The following is a 23,529-nucleotide window of genomic DNA, read 5'->3' as shown; positions in this document are numbered from 1 at the left end:
CTTTGAAATTGACTTTTCCTATTTTTCAATTTAAATAAGAGAGAATTGTCAATGATTAAAATTCATAAAACGAAGAAAGAATGGACTCAGAAAATAGCAAACATGAAATGTTAATTATTAGTTCAAAAGTTAGTTTACCGTGTTTTCTCTGCCAACTGATTGCTAATGACTAAAGTCCTTATTTCCAGCTTTCCTCTCTCCCCGAGCTCCAGATCTCTTGATTTATTAAACTAGTAGTTTCCCCAAAATATATGAGACAACAAAATATACTCTCAGCTGAAGTAAATAGCATTCATCTTCCCAGTCAGATAAGGCAGAAGTACTTCTAGATCAGATGTTATATTCGGGATAGGTTAAAAACAGACCCTGCTCCCAGTGTCCCAGGAATGAACAGTGGATGTGCTTATTTCTCATTGCATGCGTGTATCAAAATATCTCACGTACCCTACAAGTACATACACTTACTATGTCCCTACAAAAATTAAAAACAATAAATCATAAACATTTGTAAAAATAAGCGAATAAATGTATAAATGAATTTAAAAGAGAATAGACAGAGGGGAGAATGTAACTTTACGTGTCCCAGAACAGACTTTGAACAGGCTCTTATCATATAGGAAAACTGAATGAATATATGCAAGCATAAGTCCAATAACCAGATTCTGATTTACAGAATGATCGCAACTGTAGTTCTCTCAAGGCCCTGTCTTTGAACAGGCTGTGTCTTATTCCTGCAACATGCTGATCTATCTTCATGCTTCAAGACTCAGATCATTATCTTCTCTGGGATGTCTCCCAAGCACTGCCCCAGAAATAACTTCTCCTCCTATAATACTTAATCATAATCCTTGGCTTACATGCTTGTTTCTTCTCATTGACTATGAAATCCTCAAGACAAGGTATATAACGTATATATCTTTAATCCTAATGCCCAATTGAGCTCTTAGAAGGTAGTAAGCTCCCAATACACATTTGTTAATTTGAAGCAAAAAAAAAAAAATAGCTAATCATTCAAAAAACTGAATTATCACAAATGTCCATCTAAAGTACTATATTTACACAATTAAATGCTATACAGCCAGGTTAATGAACAGACTAAAATTATATGCAACATGGATTATCGTAAACATAATTTTGAATGAAAAAGGCGAGACACAAAGGAGTATAAAGCCATACAATTCCATTTTCATAATATTCAGTACCGGCAAAATAATCAAAGTTGACAGGGTACTGGTTATACTTGGAGGCAGTGACTGCAAAGGGATAAGAGGAGATTTCTGAGATTCTGATAATATTCTATTTCCTTCTCTGGTTGTACAGTGTGTTCAATTTTTAAAACACTATTGGGCTATACAGTTAAATTGTGCAGTGTCCTGTACGTATATTACACTTCAGTTAAAAGCTTCCATGGAAGCTACACATAGTTCCCAAAAGACAACAAAACAAAAAATTTTCAATTATTTTAAGCACAAACAATTTTGTTCAGCTGTCTTACAATCGAATATGTAAGAATAAATTTATGGCTAATTAGCATAGAGTTATATGCATTTTCATAATTAAAACTTCCACGAGTACAACATATGTTAAGTATTTTAAATCAGTTTTTCTCTTTCCTCAAATAAGGTTGTGAGTCATAATTCGGAAAACAGTTTAGCATGTAATAATTTAGTGTTTTATTTTAAACCAAGCTGAAGCCACATAAAGCAGAACTGCTCAACTGAGCCCTATCCAAATCCTTGACCCACAGAATAAGAAGCAGATAAAATGGCTGCTACTTAAACAAAACAAAAACCTTGTTTATATTTTTGTCCTCTCATTTTCCATAAGTATACTTTAATTAAACATTTTAAAACTTGTAACTTTAGGTTATATACTTACTTTAGTTGGTTCTCAACCAGGGACAATTTTGTCCCCACCCCCAACCCCCCAGCATATTTGGCAGTGCCTTGAAACATATTTGGTTGTCACAGCTCAGGGGCGAGGTGTTACTACTGGTATCCAGTGTGTTCAACAGGCCAGGGATACTGCTAAATACCCTACAATGCAGAGGATAGCTGCTCACAGCAAAGAATTTTCCAAACCTAAATGTTAGTAATGCTAAAGTTGAGAAACCTTGCTCAGATATAATGACATAATGTTGTTAGAATTTTTATTTTATTCATTTTAATGTATGTATGTATGTATGTATGTACGTACGTATGTATGTATGTATTTGAGATGGAGTCTTTCTCTGTTGCCCGGGGTGGAGTGCAGTGGCACGATCTCGGCTTACTGCAGCCTCTGCCTTCCACGTTCAAGTGATTCTCCTGCCTCAGCCTCCCTAGTAGCTGGGATTACAGGCGCCTGCCACCAAACCTGGCAAATTTTTGTATTTTTAGTGTAGACGGGGTTTCACCATATTTGCCAGGCTGGTCGCAAACTCCTGACCTCAAGTGATCCGCCCACATCGGCCTCCCTAAGCGCTAGGGTTACAGGCATGAGCCACTGCGCCTGGCCAGGAATTTTTGAATCAGAATTTTTCTTGTTCGATTTTAATCTCTTATCATTTAGAGATTCTTGAAATATTGAAATTACTTTGTTCAAAGTGAATGAATTTTCTTAAATTATGTATGGTTAACATCTTTTAAATTGCTTATTTTTAAATTGCCATGTTTGTGTCCCAGTTTGCATTAACAAATAGTTTGAGAACTATGTTGGAAAAAAAAATAACAATTTTATTCTTCTTTCTCCAGGCTAGAAGAACAAAAGAATATCTTGTCAGAATTTCAAAGAGATTTAAATGAATTTGTTTTATGGTTGGAGGAAGCAGATAACATTGCTAGTATCCCACTTGAACCTGGAAAAGAGCAGCAACTAAAAGAAAAGCTTGAGCAAGTCAAGGTAATTTTATTTTCTCAAATCCCCCAGGGCCTGCTTGCATAAAGAAGTATATGAATCTATTTTTTAATTCAATCATTGGTTTTCTGCCCATTAGGTTATTCATAGTTCCTTGCTAAAGTGTTTTTCTCACAACTTTATTTCTTCTTAACCCTGCAGTTCTGAACCAGTGCACATAAGAACATATGTATATATGTGTGTGTGTGTATTTATATATACACACACACATATTGCATCTATACATCTACACATATAGATGTATAGATTCAATATGTCTAAATGTATATAATTCACAGTTTTTATCTTTGATTTGAAATTAATTTTAGATTTTACTTGAGAACTTCACAACTTCATATAATTTTAAAAACTGAAGACCAGATTGTGGAATCATAAAATCTAAATCTAAATGGGAATCACTTTTTTAATCTGTCCTGGTTACCTACCTGGAGATTTGAGAAGAGTCTTTAAAAAGAAGAATCCATTTTCTTAGGGAAGATCTGGATTGCCAGATCAGTCTCACCACTTCAGCCTCTACTTAAAGGCATTATATTCCCCCGAAGCAATGTTTTGTTTTAGCTGATTTGTCTGGGGGTGTGGGACGTGGTGTTGGTTCACATTCCATTTGGTTGAATAGACATCCAGCTTATTCCAGTGGCTTTTCATACCGTCCTACTGTGATGTCTGCTTATTACTGATTACTTCCCTTGGCTGACTGACATGCTCTGATTGTGCAATTGGATTAACTTTCATGGTTTTAGTTTTAGGAAAGCAGCTCTTTTGGATCTATTTCATTTTAGTTGTCAAGCAGAAGGTGAAAGGGGAAGAGAAATTAATATTTAATCATTCCCTGTTATGTGCCAAGTATTAGATACATTTACAGCCACTATTTTATTTAATCTTCATATCAGATTTTGACAATGGTTGCTATTATCCTCATTTTACACGGTCACATAATCAAAGGGAAATGAAATTGGTCCTTTATCAATGATTCAGGTGCTTTACACATGTAAATTAGAGTCCAATGTCAAACGTTTATTTCTGTGAAACAAGAGGTTTACACCTGAACAAGAAATAAAGTATAAAAATAAAATATGGCGTAATTCAATAAACAAATATGGAGCACTGACTATACATCCGATGTTTTACTAGGTATTTGGGATTCAAAAATAGAAAAGAGTGGGAATCATTTGAAGATGGTTATACCCTAGAACAATGAACTCAGTCTTTTCTTGGAAATTTATCTTTCCCAAATGTATTGAGTGTCATATATAGTAATATAATTGATAATTCATTCGAAACATATTTAGTGGCATTTTCTTATTAATTAATATGCATGAGTCTATTTTCTCCTGAAAGAATCTAGATCAGTGCTTTCAAATAGAACTCCCGTGATGATGAAAATATTCTGCATCATCCATTTTTGTAACGACTAGCTATTTGTGCCTTTTGAATACCTGGAGAGTTGGTCGTGTGACTGAGGAACTTGAGATTTTATTTTAGTGAATTTTGATTAACTTGAATGTTAATAGCGTTGTATGGCTAATGGGTACTGTAGCAGACACAGTAACTTTAGTTGACAAAAATGAAGTGTTAACACCATGGTGATTTTGGAGGTCTTGGGAAAGGGCATACACTATGTGGTGGTGAATGAGTTCGAGAAATTTAGGGATATGAAGTAAAAAATGAGGACTCCAGAATGAAACTACCCAAATTTGAACCACACCTTTGTTGCTTGCTAGATTTGTGTCCTGGGAGCTGGTATTTAACCCCTTTGTCTCAGTTTCCTTCCATATAAAATGAAGATAATTGGATCTACCTGATATAATTATTATAATATGAAGATAAACTAAGATAATAAATGTGAAAAGGTTAGCACAGTGCCTGGCACTGTGTATATTGAGAGTCAATACTCTCAATGTCAGTTACCTCTTAAGATGATAATGCAATTTCTCAGCAGCAAGCTACGGTATGCTATGGCATGCTATGATACCCAAGAGGCTGATGAATTTGTTCACATTGTTCTATTTCTGATAGAGAGATAGGTTTTCAGACACTAACTTTATTTGGAGTGTTGCTTTACCATCTCACATTTTTCTCTTAAAAAATTTATGAGGGATAATATAATCGTTTATTTTCTACAGAGATTTATCTACTGAGGGGGTGAGTGTTTCAGTCAATCAGCTCTGTGCTCAGATAGAAAACTGTTGGTATTTGAGGTACCACTGGGCCCTCGGTCAAGTCGCTTCATTTTGATAGACTAATCAATAGAAGCAAAGACAAGGTAGTTGGAATTGTGCTGTAATTCATTTTAAACGTTGTTGCATTTGTCTGTTTCAGTTACTGGTGGAAGAGTTGCCCCTGCGCCAGGGAATTCTCAAACAATTAAATGAAACTGGAGGACCCGTGCTTGTAAGTGCTCCCATAAGCCCAGAAGAGCAAGATAAACTTGAAAATAAGCTCAAGCAGACAAATCTCCAGTGGATAAAGGTTAGACATTAACCATCTCTTCCGTCACATGTGTTAAATGTTGCAAGTATTTGTATGTATTTTGTTTCCTGGGTGCTTCATTGGTCGGGGAGGAGGCTGGTATGTGGATTGTTGTTTTGTTTTGTTTTTTTAACCTGACCGTTTGCTTTGGCTATATGTTTTGTTGTGGCTAGAAAAAATGATGATGGTGAATGGCTTTACATTAATGACCAAATGCCAAAATTTATACCACAATTTTTTGCATAAATTATTCTGAAGAATCAGACTGAAGAAATGGCGAAGTATTTAATTCAGTGGCCAGGCATGTACTGACAGTATTTAAGCTGAAAGGACGTGGTCTGGTTCTAGTTAAACAAGTGTCATAAATCAAAATTAATTATTCACACCTGTGGTATGGACTTAATAATTAATGTACACTAACGTTCGCCACAAGTTTATTTATTTACTTACCTACTGATTTATTAACTTGTGAGTTTTCATCTTTCCACCTTGCATACTATATAAATCTAACAGTAATACTATTTATTAAATTAATACATATTTATTTTATATAAAGCAAGTGGTACATATGAATTTATAGTAAAAAGCAACATCAATTGATCCAGCACTATTCATTCAAAGACAATCATTTCCCCACTGTATTTTCATGGCATCTTTGTCATAAATCAAGAGAACTTGTATGTATGAATCTGCTTCTGGATTCTGTATCCTCTTCCATTTGATTAAATCTGTACTTTAACAACAGTACTTCACTGGCTTAATTACAATCTTTTTTTTAAAACAATCCTACCGAGCTATAATTCACATACCATTAAACTCATTTAAAGTGAACAATTCAATCGTATTTCGGTGTTACTTTTTTAAGGTGTGATAAAATATATAACATAAAAAATTGTCATTTTAGTCATTTCGTGTGTCCAGCTCAGTGGCATTTATTACAACCATCACCACAGTTTATGCCCCACCCCCAATTTTTTTTTTTCTTTTTTGGAGACAGAGTCTCGCTGTGTCGCTCAGGCTGGAGTGCAGTGGCGCGATCTCGGCTCACTGCAACTTCCGCCTCCCAGGTTCAAGTGGTTCTCCTGCCTCAGCCTCCCTAGTAGCTGGGATTACAGGCACCTGCCAGCATGCCCAGCTAAGTTTTTGTATTTTTAGTAGAGATGGGGTTTTGCCATGTTGGCCAGGCTGGTCTCAAACTCCTGACCTCAGGTGATCCGCCCACCTTGGACTCCCAAAGTCCTGGGATTACAGCGTGAGCCACCGCGCCCAGCCTCCAAAATTTTTTATTACTCCAACCAGACAGTCTGTAACCATTAAGCAATAGTTCCCCTTTCTCTCTCTTCCCATCCGCTAGTAGCCTCTGGACTACTTTCTGTTTCTATGAATTTGGCTATTCTAGATCTTTTATATAATTGGAATTATATATTTGCCACTTTGTGTCTGCCTTACTTCCCTCAGCATAATATTTTCAAGGTTCATCTATGTTGTAGCATGTGTCAGAACTTCATTCCTTTTTATGACTGAATAATATTCCATTGTATGTATATACGCAATCATTTTATTTAAACATTTTGGATCTGGTTGTGTAAACCTTCCACTTTGTTCTTCCTATTCAAGATTGCCTTGGCTACTTTTGGTTCTTTGAATAAATTTTAGAACTATATTGTCTATTTTTACATAAAGCCTTCCAGGATATTGATTGAAATTTTGTGAATCTGGAGCTCAGTCAACATCTTTACGATACTGAGTCATCTAATTTGTGAACATTTTGAATTGTGTCAGGTTATTTATTGTATTTTTTAAATTGGTGATGCTGACATTCTAATAACAGATCATTTACACGACTGATAAAATATTTAGGAACTAAAATAAGTACCAATTTTATGACATTAAAACCATAATGTGCGCTTAAGTGTCTCTATTTCAAGCAGGTAGTTATTTGAAAAAAAAAAATCCCTTCTTGGTTTCTACCTTTAATGATTGCAAAACATCTGTGTAAAGATACAGACTTTTATGTATGGAGGGAAGGTGGTGTCCCAGCAATTAAATTTTATAGCTACATAACAATACAAATGAAATCATCCCTCATAAAAAGAGAACAAGGAGGAAGGATACCCAAAATGTTCTACAATATCTCAGTACATCTTATGACAAAAAGAAGAACAAAAATTATAATTGTAGGAAATGTGAGAGAACTATCTAAAATATACAATAGCAGCTTTGTGGGTTGTGAAAGAGTCAAGGTTTTATGTGTCCTGCAACAGAATAAAAAGTCAAATTTTTATGATAGAAAATTAAAACTGAGGTTACGAACACCATCATGTATAGACTTATATTACTACAGCATCCATAATATCTGTTTCCTATGCCAAAATTATAATTTTAATGCAATGTCTTTGCCATTAAATGCCACAGGATTTGGAATTTTATTCATTAGTCATATTAAAATTATTTAATCATCTTTTCTCCATCCATATGCCTCTGTATCCCTGTTAGTTTAGATTTAGGGATAGAAAGCAAATGATCAGTACCAGATTTAGGTAAATAACACAAGTTTTTTTAAAAGTAAAAGAAAATGGCTTATAACACTGGCAGACAGTCTTGATCTTCATTAAATCTCAAGCTCTTACTTATTACAGGAGGGTAGAAATAAAGCGGACCCCCTCCCTGTGTCCTCCAGCCCTACCCTTCATCCAAAGGTTAGAGTGGGTGATATAATTGGAACTAGTGGGTCATAGTTACTGTGACATGAATATGTCAATTCCTTAGTACATAGTATCTCCAAACATATCCTAATATCATAATCAGTTGGCAGGTGACTTTCTCCACAGCTAACTCTAATATGCTGCATTCTGCGTATTGAGCCAACTGACCCCTTACTCTTGTACCTTTATTTTATTTTTTTTTTTATTTATTTTTTGAGACAGAGTCTCGCTTTGTCATCCAGGCTGCAGTGCAGTGGCACGATCTCAGCTCACTGCAACCTCCACCTCCCGGGTTCAAGTGATTCTTCTGCCTCAGCCTCTCGAGTAGCTGGGACTACAGGCGCGCACCACCACACCCAACTAATTTTTGTATTTTTAGTAGAGATGGAGGGTTCGCCATGTCGGCCAGGCTGGTCTCGAACTCCTGACCTCATGATCTGCTCACCTCAGCCTCCGAAAGTGCGGGGATTACAGGTGTGAGCCACCGCGCCCGGCCTGTACATTTATATTTCATTACTGAAGAGAGAAAACAGCAGGTGAAGATAATATAGCTATTTCTTTAAGGGAGTGGTGGACAGGGTTGCTTTAAACTGAATATAGCCATTAGCGTAAATTTATGGGTAGCTTCATGCAATGAAGGCTCATGAAATGATATCCTCATTCTTGTCTAATACATAACTTGACCTTTTACAGCCTTTAACAATGATACCCGTAAGAGCCACAAAGTGGGGATGTTATTAAAGCTAGCCTCTGTGTTCCTCTCTCTGATCATCTCATTCTATGATCTTCACCCACACTTCTGACTCAGGTGTTTTTAATATTTATCCCTCTTCATATTTCTTTGTATTTTCTCTGAACATGCATGTGGGTGTAGGAGGCTCTCTCGCCATCATCATCACTCTCTTCCTCTGTGTTTCTCACTTTTAGGCTAATTTTCATCTATGAATTGACACGTATATTATAGGAATTTATTTTTATATATTTATTAGGAATCTTCTTTTTGTTTTTTTTTTTTTTTTGAGACAGAGTTTTGCTCTGTCGCCCAGGCTGGAGTGCAATGGCACGATCTCCACTCACTGCAACCTCTGTCTCCTGGGTTCAAGCGATTCTCCTGCCTCAGCTTCCCGAGTAGCTGGGATTACAGGCATGCACCACCACGCCTGGCTAATTTTTGTATTTTAAGTAGAGACGGGGTTTCACCACGTTGATCAGGCTGGTCTTAAACTCCCGACCTCAGGTGATCTGCCCACCTCGGCCTCCCAAATTGCTGATATTACAGGCGTGAGCCACCGCACCTGGCCATGAATCTACTTTTCTATTTGCATATTTGCCACTCTTTTTCTGCCCCAGTTGTTTATGTAACACATTCTCTTCTGCTCTCCTTCCCTGACCCCGTTAATCCCAGTTTCATCTCTTTCATGTCTTTTTATTTTGTGTCCCCTTTCCTCATTCTTCATTGCTCTTTGTATATGTTATATGTGGGTATTTTTTTAACTACCCATTTATTTAAAACCAAAATATGCTTTATCATTCTTTATTTTTGAACACCGAGTCCTAGAAAGGTTATGTGACTTATTTGAGACCATGTAGCTTTCTATTTAAATATAAAAGTGATTCCAAAATAAACAGTAGGGGTTTTAACCTTTTGGTGAAGCTCAAGTGATTTTTATGTGGATAATATCCTAATATTAAAATGGGGATTTATTTTCTTTTAAAAAAACTATATGAGTTTTTGCTTTGGTTTTTGCCCTTTTTGAGAACTAGATGCTGTGTTTTAAAATTACTTTCTAGAACCTTCTCTGCTGTGGAACATTTACAGTTGTGTAATATAGCAAAACATGTTTATGTTGTTTCAGAATTAGTTAAAATCCTACTATTTTTAATGTCAAGTAATTTTACAGGTGGTGTACGTTATGCATTCCTATTAGTTTTAATAAATATGTTGTCATTTTGTTAAATAAGTTTAAATTTTTCATCGCATTTTACATGTAAACAGTAATTTACTATCTACACATAAAATACCATTTACAAATAAGATATACTGTTTATATGTAAATGGTAAATTACTATTTGAATTTGTTACTGCCCAGACAGTATAAAATGGTGCACATAAAGAAAAAAGCATTTTGGAAAACAATTAAGAAATTTGGCTGGAAAGTGAATTTTAGTTAAGTGCATCTTATTCACTTTACCGAGGAAAAAGGTAGGTTTACAAATACAACATATATAACAAACCTTTAATATGGGAATAATTTTTGTAATATTGATAATAATACAGGTATTATTTTCAAAAAATCACCAAATAAAAATTATGAAAGTAAAAATACAGTGCAACTCCTAGCACAAACTATCTTCCACAATATACAGTTGGCTGTATCTAAATTTCCAGAAATCTGGTTCATTTTGTATTAATCTCTAATCATGTTGCTTCTAAATATGTATCTGAGGAGTAAACATTTCAGATTTATTTTCATTTGTATAAGGTAAATGAATGTTTAGTCTTTTTCCAGACGTATTTGCTATGTAATGACAGTCATTATTAGTCGTCAGTATAAATGTGAATAGCAAAAAGGAGAAAATTAAATAAAGCTAGAGCTTGGCTTTCCGACTCCTTGCTCAAAAATGGACACTTTGTCCAATCAATTTCCTATCACAAGATGACGATTAATAGATTGTTCTAATAGTTACCATTCAGTCCTGCCCTTAACGTGATGTTTTTTCAACCAAATAATAGAATCTTCACTGGCATTGTTACCATATTGACTGGTATTTATGGAACCCCGGAAAAAAAAATGCTGTAAAATATATAGTAGGAAGTATAATAATCATTATAGGAAATCATTTCTCTAGCTGGAAGTCTTAGCAGGGACCAGATAGTTCCACTGGAGCTTTTATGTGCTCATGATTTTCTCCCTTGAAGTGTATTTGTAACACAGTTCACACAGTTTTTAATTTTATAAATCTGTGTGCTAAAACGCTATTATATAAGAAAACGGGCCGGGTGTGGTGGCTCACGCCTGTAATCCCAGCACTTTGGGAGGCCCAGGCGGGCAGATCACAAGGTCAGGAGATCGAGACCATCCCAGCCAACATGGCAAAACTCCGTCTCTATTAAAAATACAAAAATTAGCTGAGCGTGGTGGCATGTGTCTGTAATCCCAGCTATTTGGGAGGCTGAGGCAGGAGAATCACTTGAACCAGGGAGTAGGAGGTTGCAGTGAGCCAAGATCATGCCGCTATACTCCAGCCTGGCGACAGAGCAAGACTCTATCTCAAAAAAAAAAAAAAAAAAAAAAGGGTGTTCACCTATTTATTGGGCATATAGTCTGATAGTTCCCAGAAACCCATTATCTTGAATGTTTTCTTTATGTAAGTTCCTGGAAATCCATTATTTGGATGTTTTCTTTATGTAGTTAATAATTACAGCAAAGCTGTAATTAAATTATTTATTCAAGAGCTATCTATTAAAGGACTACTATGTGCCACATTCTGTTCTAAGCATATCATAATCACTTCCCACCCTTCCCTTATTTAAAGGACATGCATAATTTTATAGGGCTTGGCATTATAAATATTCATATCTCTAATTTATAGTTGCTAAACAGTTTGAAGCTGAGGGTTGGGGGAAGGGAGTAGTAATTTAAAGTTTATAACATAAGCATCCTTGACTTTGCCTCCTATAATTTCACACTGACATGAGGTTTATTACTAGGTTGTGTGTCATGAGTACATCTCAATTTGCTCTGACTGTTCTGGTTTTTGCCTGTTATCCTATCATAATTTTTAATAGCTCCCTCTTTCATTGTCATAAGTATTCCACTTTAGAAGATAAAATATATAGAGAGGGTCACTCTAGTTATGAGAACAAACATCAGGCTTTTAGAGCTAGGCTTGGTCCAGTGCTCAATAACTATTATTATCATGATTGCTTTTGTTCTTAGTAGCATCATCGTCCTTGTCATCATCATCTACCTTCCTAATACTTTAGTTCAGCTGAGAATTTCGGCCTATCCAAGAAATCTGATTGCCATTATTACCGAATTAATCACTCTTTAATGACAATAGTATATAAGAATACGTGACATTTAACTTTCCAAATTATTGAAATGTTACGCTGTGTATGGAAAATTCTTTCTAACCGTGTTTTTTCTCTACTCTCAAATCGTAACAATCGTCAACACAGAAGAAGACTTTTATGACCAAATTTGTGGAATTTTTTTCCCCATACACCAAACAGCAGGCACCAGCTGGGTGTCTCTAATTCAGTCCTGACACTATCCACCCAGAGATAGTGTCAGATCCCATAGATTGAGGGCTCAGTACCGAGGTCTGCCTCCTCTGCACCCCCCTAGCGCACGCGCGCGCACACACACACACACACACACACACACACACCAGTCTCAAGTCCAGGCCTCTGGAACTTCTGACCCATGGGCTTCAAGTTGGGGTTCCCATGACCCTCTCTTTGGGTTCAACTAACTTGCTGGAGCAGCTCACAGAACTCAGGAAAACACTCGCTTTCACCTGTTTATGATAAAGGATATTGCAAAGGACACAGATGAAGAGATGCATAGGGTGAGGTATGGTTGGGGTGGAGGGACGGAAAGGGGCATGGAGCTTCCATGCCCTCCCTGAGTGCACCACCCTCTAGGAATCCCCACCTGTTCAGCTACCCGGAAGCTCACTGGACTCTGTCCTCTTTGTTTTTTATGGAAGCTTCATGACATCAGCATTCCTTCCCCAAGGGTATATGGTGGGACCCTCTAACAGGAGGTTTTTAAGACCTATAATCTGAAAGGCGAGGGAACATTAAAGTGAAAGGAGAGCAGGAGAAGGTCAGAGGCCTGCCCCTGAGACCCAACGCAACCAACATTATAACAAAAAACTGTAACAAGGGCTATGGGTGTTATGAGCCAGGAACCTGGATAGAAACCAGTATGTACTATAATACCATATAGGCAATGCCAAGAATATGGATCAGACACTTTACAAACAAGGAAAAAGTAAACAGGAGTGATGAGGAGGTAATTTACTGCAGGCATTAATGATGAGATTATGAATTATGGATTCCACTTGCTACCAGCTATGTGATCTTATACCTACTCTGTCCATACCTAAGTTATAACATCCATAAAATTCAAATACTAAAAGAAGACACTTCCCCAGGTTGTGGTGAAAATTCAATGAGGTAGTAAATGGGAAATGTGTAACACAGTATCTGGCATATTGTAATTGCTCAAAAAATGTTAGATTAAAAACAGTAGGAGTAATACTAAAATAGAAAAATGCAAAGAGCAAGCACAAAATCATCTCTGATTCTCACCTCCAAATTCTCCAAAAGTCTCACCTTCTTAATCAAAGTTGTAAATATGGCTCTTGGGGAGAAAGCTGAACTATGTGCTACTATTATGAATGCAACAGGTGAAGGAGAGGAGAGTTAGAGGCAGCAAGACAACCAAATGGCTCTCGTGGAAGGCACAGAGGATTTTCAGCCACTGCTCTCCTATTCCGCTGATATTACTTTCATTTTCTATGACCAACTAGCATTTCAGCTAAAATGTGTTGGAAAATGATAGATTTTTCTCCTCCTATTGCCTAAGAAGCCCAACAAAGCCAGCATTGTTTTCAAACACCAGCATTCTCACTTTTAAAGTATGAACATAATTCAGAGGACTTTTAATTCTGAACATCGTTTTTATCAATCTATTGGCCTGATTGTAACCCAGAAATCCAAGCAGAAAGCAAGTAAACTTTCACACTGCTTCCCCATCCCTTCCCCCTACCTTTATTTTTGACATCAGTTTCCCTCATTTTGGCAAAGTAAAGGAAAAGCATTTGTAGAAGGTTACACTGAAGCTAGATAATTTTCTATTAGGAAACCTCACCAAATACAAGATAATTTGTTCATTCCAATATAATAATGTTTTAAAAAATATAACAAAAATCCAGCATAAATTGTGAAGCACTGATACTTGTGTAACAACTAATTTCCATAGTGAAACTTCATTGTTGCCACTATCTACATACTGAAAATGTATATCAAGCATGTAAATGTGTCACTTAAGTATGCTGTGCCCTAGATTTTATTTAAAAGTTAAGCTAATTTTCAACTAAAAACAAATTCGACTATTCTTAGCAATCTCTCCTCCCCGTTCATGATGGATTTAAAATGATGAAGAGTATAAATGATGATGAAAAGAGAAAGGAGGAGAAAAATTTCATAACTCTGCATCTTCAGTGTAGCATTTTTAAGTAACTCCTTTATTAGCACAAAGGTGTTTGCCTGAAGCAATGACTTCTAGAAAGGAGAAGAAATGACATAATAAAAGGGGATTTTGCTAATATAAAATGTTTTTTCTTTCCTTTTGTTTCTGCAATGCTTTTACTTACATAGCACCAACCCTGAGACTAGAGGGAGTTTCCTTCCTTTCTAATAATTTAATAATCGTGAAATGATATTAAATGGAAGTTTTCATATGCCAACTCCTTAAACTGAGGTTAAATAAGGAACAAAGATTAAAGGCCATATTTAAGACCACATATTGTAAATTCTAACCCAGTTTCATTTATTATATCACCTGCAAAGCCAATATGCCATACAAAAGTAAAATAACAGGGTGATTTTTATTAAAGATCAGAATCATACCAAAAATGAACTTTTCTGTCAAATCTTTATACTCATACATCAAGATGTGAGTTTATTTATGTAGCTAAAATAACTTAATACTAAATGCTGACTACTATATTCATGTCAGCTGACCCCTAGTGCTTCAAACCATAGAAAAGGGATACCAAATGCTGGGTTGGTTGTGTATTCCATTTTTGCCGTATACCACCTGCCAAGGCTTATAACAGATCTGTAATGGGTTTCTTACCTTTTATTGTGTAGAAAATGGATTGTTGGATTAGGCCTGGGGCCAGTGAACCATGGAACCCCAGGTTTGCAAGAAAGAGTTTATCACCCTTTGATGTTATTTCTGTCTCGTGTCAGCTGAGAAGGATGAGCTAGATTATCTGAAAGTAAGCTGGATGCCAAAATCAGCATTCCCCTCATTTATCCACCTTATGGTTCGGGGCAAGACCACTGTATGGGTAACAAAAGGGCTGATAAGGGCCTGATGGAGAAATTTGGTTTTTCTCCCTTTTGATTGGCTTGCTGATATTAGAACCAATTACAAGACATTGACGAGAGCATTTCATTGTTTGTTGCTAGAGAAAATCCATCAATTTTGTTGTGGAAATGAAAGCATTTGAGCTGAATGTTGCACTTATAATTTGTGAACATTTTCAGTTATCACCGGGACAAGTATAGTCCATCTTTGGCATGGTTGGCCAAGTGTGGTGGGAAAAGAGATGGACCAGCAAATGGGCCGGAAACCAAAGTCATCAAAAGGGTATTTCAAGAAAACTCTATTTGTTCTGATGGTTACATTCTGCAGGCAACCTGTGACTGATGACTGATGCTTATACCTCAAATGCAGTCTAAAAATATTTTTTTGTGAAAGTGACACATTCTGACTGTGATGTGGGTGACATCAACAGTTTTGAATAGGACAGTACTTCTTGGACTTATTGAAACTTTTATAAAAGAATGAACATTCTGAACTCAATTGCAATGTAAATGACTATCATGAAGATTGCTTCTGTTGGTGCTATGACTTTTGTGACAAATTTTAGACCATTGCAGTTATCTCCTAGAGGTTGCTTTATTGTTTTATTTTCATCAGTGATGTGTATTTTATCAGTGATGTTAGAATCACTGAGCTGCTGGTTAAGGAAGAGAAAAAAATTAATATTCAGGTGCTATATAGGCCCTTATTCATTGAGAACAAATAAAGGCCAACACACAAAACAGGAAAATTAATAGAAAAGACACTCTATGGGTAAGATTTCATATAGTTTGGGAGCAGACAAAAACTATTTTAATTACTAAAATAATTAAGAAAGATGTTGAGGCTGGGCACGGTGGCTCACGCCTGTAATCCCAGCACTTTGGGAGGCCAAGGAGGGCAGGCCACTTGAGGTCAGAGTTCAAGACCAGCCTGGCCAACATTGTCAAACCCTGTCTCTACTAAAAATACAAAAATTAGCTGGGCGTGGTGGCACATGACTTGAATCACAGCTACTTGGGAGGCTGAGGCAGGAGAATCATTTGAACCCAGGAGGCGGAGGTTGCAGTGAAAGGAGATCACGCCACTGCATTCCAGCCTGGGCAACCGAGTGAGACTCTGTCTCAAACAAACAAAAAAAAAAAGATTAAAAAAAAAGATGTTGACATTAACATGTTCAAGTCTTTATGCTGAAACTAGAATGCAGTATGATTAAATAATCATTTCTACTTCGGGTGAAGGATTAGTTTTCTTAAAGATACCCCTTTCCAGCTTCTCAGTTCGCGTGTGGTTAATTCCCAACGTGGCCTCAAATATTCTAATGGTTTGTGTAATGAGTGCCACCGTTCCACCTTCTTATTCTCCATGCCTCATCTCAGTCCTGGAAAGATCACTAAACTTGCAGTTCATAACTCAGTCTAGACCCAGGTTCAACACTCACTAACTCATAACTGTGGGCCACTTATTTAAATCTCTTAGTGCCTCTAGTTCCTCATTTGTCCAACAGTGATGCATTATGAAGCATGTTTGCCCATCTCCCAGCGTCTAGTGAGGAACTAAAAACACAATATATACTATCATACTTTATTACGAGGAGTTAAATTGTGGTTACTATTACAAAGTAGGTTACCATAAAATTCTAATAGCAGTGGTAAGGGGTAAAGATCCACGTGCCATCACGTAGAGCAGAACTTCTCAAACTTTAATGTACGGCAGGTCCTTGAATAATGTTGTTTCATTGAGCATCACTGTGTTATAATATTGGCAAGGGAAAAAACTGTATCTCAGCTAGGGGGGCACTGTCTATGTGGGGTTTTCTTTTGTCTCTGTGGGTTTTCTTCTAGTACTCTGGTTTCCTCACATGTCCCAAACTGTGCACGTTAGGGGAATTGGTGTGTCTACATTGTCCCCATGTGAGTGTTTATGTGTCTACGACTGTGCCCTGCGATAGAATGGCATCCCTGCCAGTGTTGGCTCCTGTCTGGTGCTCTGAGTTGCCAGGATGGGCTCTGGCCTCCCAAGTCCCTGAACTGGAATACGTGGCTTGGAAAATGAATGACTGAATTAATATAAATTACTGTGAAATAAAAATTCATATAGTATTCAATAATCATAAAGATGCGTGACAATAATTGATGCTCTACAGAAGTGCTCAGTGAGCTGCCATATTGATTATTGTTTGTTTTTGAACTTTGTGGTGAGAGAAGGCAATCCTGGCAGTTTATGCTTTGCAAACATTTATTCCTTGAATGAACCACCGCCACTGCAAACACTGTCACTCACTGATTCACCAAAAACTGGGTAAATAATTTTCCTCCTGGTTTTTATTAATCTTTCTAAAGTGGATGTATATCTCACATTTATTTCTGAGTTTAATATTAGAAGTGCTTGGGGTCTTTATTTAGATGTTGGATCATGTTTTGTGAACACAGGTATGCAGTAGGAACTTAATTCTTGTTTATCAATTAGCCTATGGTAAGATTGGTTTCATTATATGTCATTTTGCCTAAGTCACAGTTTCCCAGAATCTATCAACAACATTAATTGATGACTTACTGAAACAGGAATCACCTTGAGATCTTGTTAAAATCAGGTTACTGATTCAATGGCTCTTGCATAGGACCTGAGGTTCTGCATTTCCCCCCCTAATTTCAAGATGCTGGTTCCCTGGTCCCCTTGCTCTACTTCTTAAATGGTAGGGAGGTAGAGAGTGGCTATCAAGAGTCTGTGTAGGAGTTGACCACCAATCCCATTCAATGGAATGCATACAGTGTGTTCTGAGATACTGGAAAGGCCTTTGCAAAAAGATTTTGTCTCTTGATATTTATGAAGCACATTCATCCGACCACAGAAGATACATATCAACTTTGACAGAAAATATGAACACATTCAAATGATTTATACCTTTGAAACATAGATCGTTGTGGGGTTCATAACCCAAGTATAACTTTCCCACAGATTCACTCAATTTCCTTCCTCTTTCTGTGCAATATATTGTATATTGCAAGAAGCTCACCTCCACTCACCTTATTCCTCAGGCTTTCTTCTCAACTATCTTCTGTATAGATTTAACCAGTGGGAGGCGTTGGCAGGAGATTGGAGAGCAGGAGAAGGGGAGATTTCAGGGTATTTCTTTCCCTCTTTCACTGCTTTGGGCAACAGCTGATACAGAGTAAGTGGCCAAAAAATACTAGCTATTATTAGGTCTTCTAATAATGATCTTCTAAAATCACTTTTTCAGTGGTTACCCCCATTGATTTGCCATGAATGTCTCTTCAGACATCTTTGCAAAGAATTGAGCCTGACTTTAGATACTCATTCAAAATCAAAATCAGTAATTTTAGGATTGAGGACTCTGGTATTATTTAAGAACTCTTAACTGTACCAAGCCTCACTCCCATTTCTGGCTTTCCCCTATATATCAGTTAAGTAATAACTCCAATAGTGTAAAATTTGCAATAGTGTTATGTAACAAATCACCCTAAAACTTATTGACTTAAAATTATCACCATTTATAATTGCACACAGTCTGTGGGGTCCCGTGAGCTGTTGTGTTGTTCTGGCTCACTCATACATTTTCAGTCAGCTAATGGGTGGGCTAGGGGCTGGCTTATCTAGCATAAGCGCAGCTAGGATGATTCACCTCTGCTCCATATGGTCTCTCATCCTTCGGCAAGCGCTCCTGGGCTTATTCTCATGCAAGAAACAGGATTCTAATAGAGAAGGAAACAAGACTTCTTGAAGCTTAAGCTTGGAGCTGGCTCACTCATTTCTAACACATTTTTTTAACCAAAGCAAATCACAAGGCAGGCCCATATTCAGGGATTAGGGAAATAGGTTACAACTCCTGATGGTAGCAACTTTAAAAGTCACATTGCAAAAAGATGTGCATACAGAGAGGTCACCAGTGCAATCTACCACACCTTGCAATCTATTAAGTTTCTCACCCCCTCACAAGTAAGGTATTCAGTTAAGATGCATTCCTATGTATTCAGATTTCTAATCAACTAATCCTGATTCTCACGTAATATTGACACAGTATCAATATTCTCAAAAGCCAATAGTCTAGAGGGTCACAAAGATCCTCAAAGATACTTTATGCAAAATCCTAGGAGTATAGAAACAGTACCTTGGTTTATGTATACATTCAGTATTTATTAAGTGTTTCCAATATGGTATAATGTTAAGGAATGAGGATAGAGTTATGAACAGACAGACACTTGTCTTTATGGATCTTACATTTGGAGGGGGACAAACATTAAAATGGATTATATAATTACAAATGCAGCCGTTCTCATTGTCTTTTCAGATTTCTCAGGGTGTAGACTGAGCTACTATAATAAAAATACCCCAAGTTTCCATGTTTCAAACAATATAGATATGTGTATCTTTCCCACATAAAGTCCAGCCTAGGTACGTAGTCTCTGCTCTAAAAAGGAACACAGGCTAGCAAGGCAGCTATACTATTCTCAATATAATACTGCATTTCAAAATCTCCATGCTGGTCCCACAAATATCCATGCACTCTCTTTCTTATCATCAAGAGAACACACAGTGCCTTCCCAAGAGAGACCAGTCAAAGTCTCATTCACTTACTGCATCCAGCTAAAAGTCCATTGTCTGTGGATGATGCACTGTCTTCTCCATCAGATCAAGATATGGTTCCTCATGGTCCAGTGACCTATAAAGTGAAAGTTATGCTATCTGCTCCTACCACAACCAATTCTCTCTTTTTAAAATTTTTTTAAATTTTTGTGGGTACATAGTAGGTGTATGTATTTATGGGGTACTTGAGATGTTTTGACACAAGCATGCAATGCATAATAATCACATCATGGAGAACGGGGGATCCACCCCCTCCAGCATTAATCTTTTGTGTTACAAACAATCCAATTATACTCTTATTTATTTTTAAATGTGCAGTTACATTATTTTGACGATAGTCACCCTGTTGTGCTATCGAATACTGGGTATTATTCATTTTTCCTAAGTATTTTTTGTACCCATTAACCATCCCGCTGCCCCCTCCCCGACTCCTCCACTATCCTTCCCAGCCTCTGGCAACTACCTTTCTACTCTCTATGTCCATGAGTTCCATTGTTTTGATTTTTAGATTCTGCAAATAAGTGAGAACATGAGATGTTTTTCTGTGCTTGGCTTATTTTGCTTAAGATAATGACCTCCATTTCCATCCATGTTGTTGCAAATGACAGGATCTCAATCTTTTCTATGGCAGAATAGTACTCCATTTGTGTATATGTACCACGTTTTCTTTATCCATTCATTTGTTGATGGACACTTAAATTTTTTCCAAACCTTGGCTATTGTGAATAGAGCTGCAATAAACATGGGAATGCAGATATTTCGTCAATATACTGATTTCCTTTCTTTGGGTATATACCCAGCAGTGGGATTGCTGGATCATAGGGAAGCTCTATTTTTACTTTTTTGAGGAACCTCCAAACTGTTCTCTATAGTGGTTGTACTAATTTATATTCCTACCAACAGTGTGCAAGGTTTTCCTTTTCTCCACATTCTCTCCAGCCCAGGCACAAAGACAGCAGTAAGTGCTGGACGACCACCTATGCAAGACCTAGACTATAAATCCAGTACTTCTCTCCCTCTCCACACCCCCATACCCACCACTCCATTCTGAGTTTTCAAATGTAAGCTAAGCTAAATGATTCAATAAAGCTTTTTGAAGTCAAGGATGAGAAAAATCGTTGCTTTTTATGTAATCCCACCATCAAAGTAATAATTGCTTAGTTCAAATTGTGGTGATGCAAACAAGGAAAGCAAGAGAGCATAAAACGGGTGGATCTGACGCAGTCCAGAAGTGGAGGCAATGGTTGTTTTTAGATAATTATTAGAGAAGATACTGTGATTTGGTTTGAAGGCAAAGCTCACTGAAGTTCTCTAGTTCTAGATACACCTATCGAAAAATTCTTACCCAAATAAATGTCTCAGTGATAAGAGCAGCCTTTCCCCAAATGCCTAAGTGTTTTTGTTTTGTTTTTGTTTTGTTTTGTTTTGTTTTGTTTTGTTTTTGTTTTTGTTTTTTTTCAAAATCTTCCTCTGGAATGGATGCTGACCTTGTCATTGACTTATTCTTCACCACAACTCAGTCATATTAATCTTGAAAGAGACAGAGAGGCCACTATCTCTGCTAATAATTTACATAATTGTTTTTCTACAATTTGGTGCTAATTAAAATGTGAAAGGGGTAGTGATGATATAGGTAAATGTAATAAGGTCATTCTTTGTTCCTGAGAGCAAAGATAATGTCACCAGAAAGGATTGTCTGTATATTCACATAAGAGCAGGAAACAGGAAGAGAGACACAGTAAGGTAAAATAGCATACTAGTATATCACGTAGTCTGGTATAGCCAATGTAGAATATTTATTTCAAAAAACAAATAAAGATAAAGTTCTGCTTCACTTTGAGAAGCTGTTTTTTTTAATCCTGTATAGTTAGTTCGACATGTTACTACTCTGCCTGGTTCAAATTTTGATTTCACTCTGTTCCAGTTATATATGCTATGCAACAAACCACTCTAAAAGTTACTGGCTTAAAATAAGATAGTTTTACGATTTCTCATAATTCTGAGAGTTGACTATGATATTCATCTGCTTCACCTGATATCAACCAAGACACTGGGAAAGCTGGAAAGTCCAAAATGGCCTCACTCACATGACTGGCAGTTGGTGCTGCCTACCAGCTGAGAACTCAGCTAAAGCTATTGGCCATGAGCCTCAGTTTGTTTCCATTGTCTTCTCCATGTGTCTCCTTTGGCTTCCCCACAGCTTGGTGGTTGAGTTCTGTGAAGAAGCCTTCCAAAAGAACAAGCACCAATCTTCAAAGACTTATCAAGCTTCTGTTTGTATCACACTTGCTACTATCCCATTGGCCAAAGCCAGGCATATGGCCAAGTTCAGAATCAAAATGAGAAGGGACTACACAAAGGCATGAATCCAAGAGGCGTGATTAATTGTGGGGCTGCCAAATAATCGCCTTCCACAAATTCCTTACTAGCTGTGTCATCTCTCTGTGGTCTCAGTTTTCTCACCTGGAAACAGGAACAAAAATGGCCCTACAAAAATGGACTGAGATATATTAGGTTGGTGCAAAAGAAATTGCAGTTTGGGACCGTGAATTTTAAATCATTATAACTAGGCTCAAGCACATCTTTATTAATCAAAGTAGGAACCGTTACAGTCAACACATTTTTGCCAAGAAGAAATAAGTGTGTTTATTCCTGTAGCATAAAAATTCATGCTTTGGGATTCAATGAACTCTTGGAAAGCATTTTCTTCATCCTGCTAGTTGTGGAAGCATTTTCCCTGTAAAAAGTTGTCGAGATGCTTGAAGAAGTGGTAGTCAGTTGGTTGAGAGGTCAGGTAAATATGGCAGATGAGGCAAAACTTCCTAGCCCGATTCATTCAACTTGTGAAGCGTTGGTTGTGCGACGTGCGGTCGGGCGTTGTCACAGAGAAGAATTGGGCCCTTTCTGTTGACCACTGCTGGCTGCAGGCATGGCAGTTTTTGATGTATCTCATCAATTTACTGAGCATACTTCTCAAATGTAGTGGTTTCGCCGGGATTCAGAAAGCGGTAGTGGGTCAGGCCAGCAGGAGACCAGTGAACAGTGACCATGACTTTTGGTACAAGTTTGGCTTTGGAAAGTGCTTTGGAGCTTCTTCTCAGTCCAGCCACTGAACTGGGCATCGCCAGTTGTCGTTTAAAATCCACTTTTTGTTGCACGTTACAATCCGATCAAGAAATGGTTTGTTGTTGTTGGCGTAGAATAAGAGAAGATGGCACTTCAAAATGACGATACTTTTATTTTCGCTCTGCTTATGAGGCACCCACTTATCGAGTTTTTTCGCCTTTCCAATTTGCTTCAAATGCTGAACAACTGTGAAATGGTTGACATTGAGTTCCTCGGCAACTTCTCGTGTAGTTGTAAGAGGATCAGCTTCGATGATTGGTCTCAATCGGTCATTGTCAACTTCTGATGGCCAGCCACTACGCCCCTCATCTTCAAGACTCTTATCTCCTTTGAAAAACTTCTTGAACCACCACTGCACTGTGCGTTTGTTAGCAGTAACTTGGCCAAATGTGTTTTTGACATTGCGAGTTGCCTCTGCTTCTTTACAATCCATTTTGAACTCGAATAAGAAAAACGCTCGAATTTGCTTTTTGTCTAACATCATTTCCATAGTCTAAAATAAACATAAAATAAACAGCAAGTAATAAGTCATTAGCAAAAAAAAAAAAAGTGAGAAATGCTCATTAAAATGATGTATAACATAATCACATTTATTTAAGAATGTATTTCAATATCAAATG

General features: G+C 37.1%; 1 protein-coding gene across 20 annotated transcripts in view; it reads left to right on the top strand.

The window, feature by feature from the left end:
- DMD (dystrophin) overlaps positions 1 to 23,529 on the top strand; it is a 2,220,167-nt gene that overhangs the window by 1,404,429 nt on the left and 792,209 nt on the right. For all 20 annotated transcript variants that reach the window (XM_006724469.4, NM_000109.4, XM_011545467.2 and 17 more), the window contains 2 exon segments: positions 2,733 to 2,880; positions 5,215 to 5,364. In XM_006724469.4, the coding sequence (XP_006724532.1) occupies positions 2,733 to 2,880; positions 5,215 to 5,364 (298 nt within the window).

The sequence above is a fragment of the Homo sapiens genome, chromosome X (genome assembly GCF_000001405.40).
Source record: "Homo sapiens chromosome X, GRCh38.p14 Primary Assembly".
NCBI classification, from domain to species: Eukaryota; Metazoa; Chordata; class Mammalia; order Primates; family Hominidae; genus Homo; species Homo sapiens.
The sequence above is the reverse complement of the archived record's forward strand: the minus strand, read 5'-3'. Positions and strand labels throughout refer to the sequence as shown.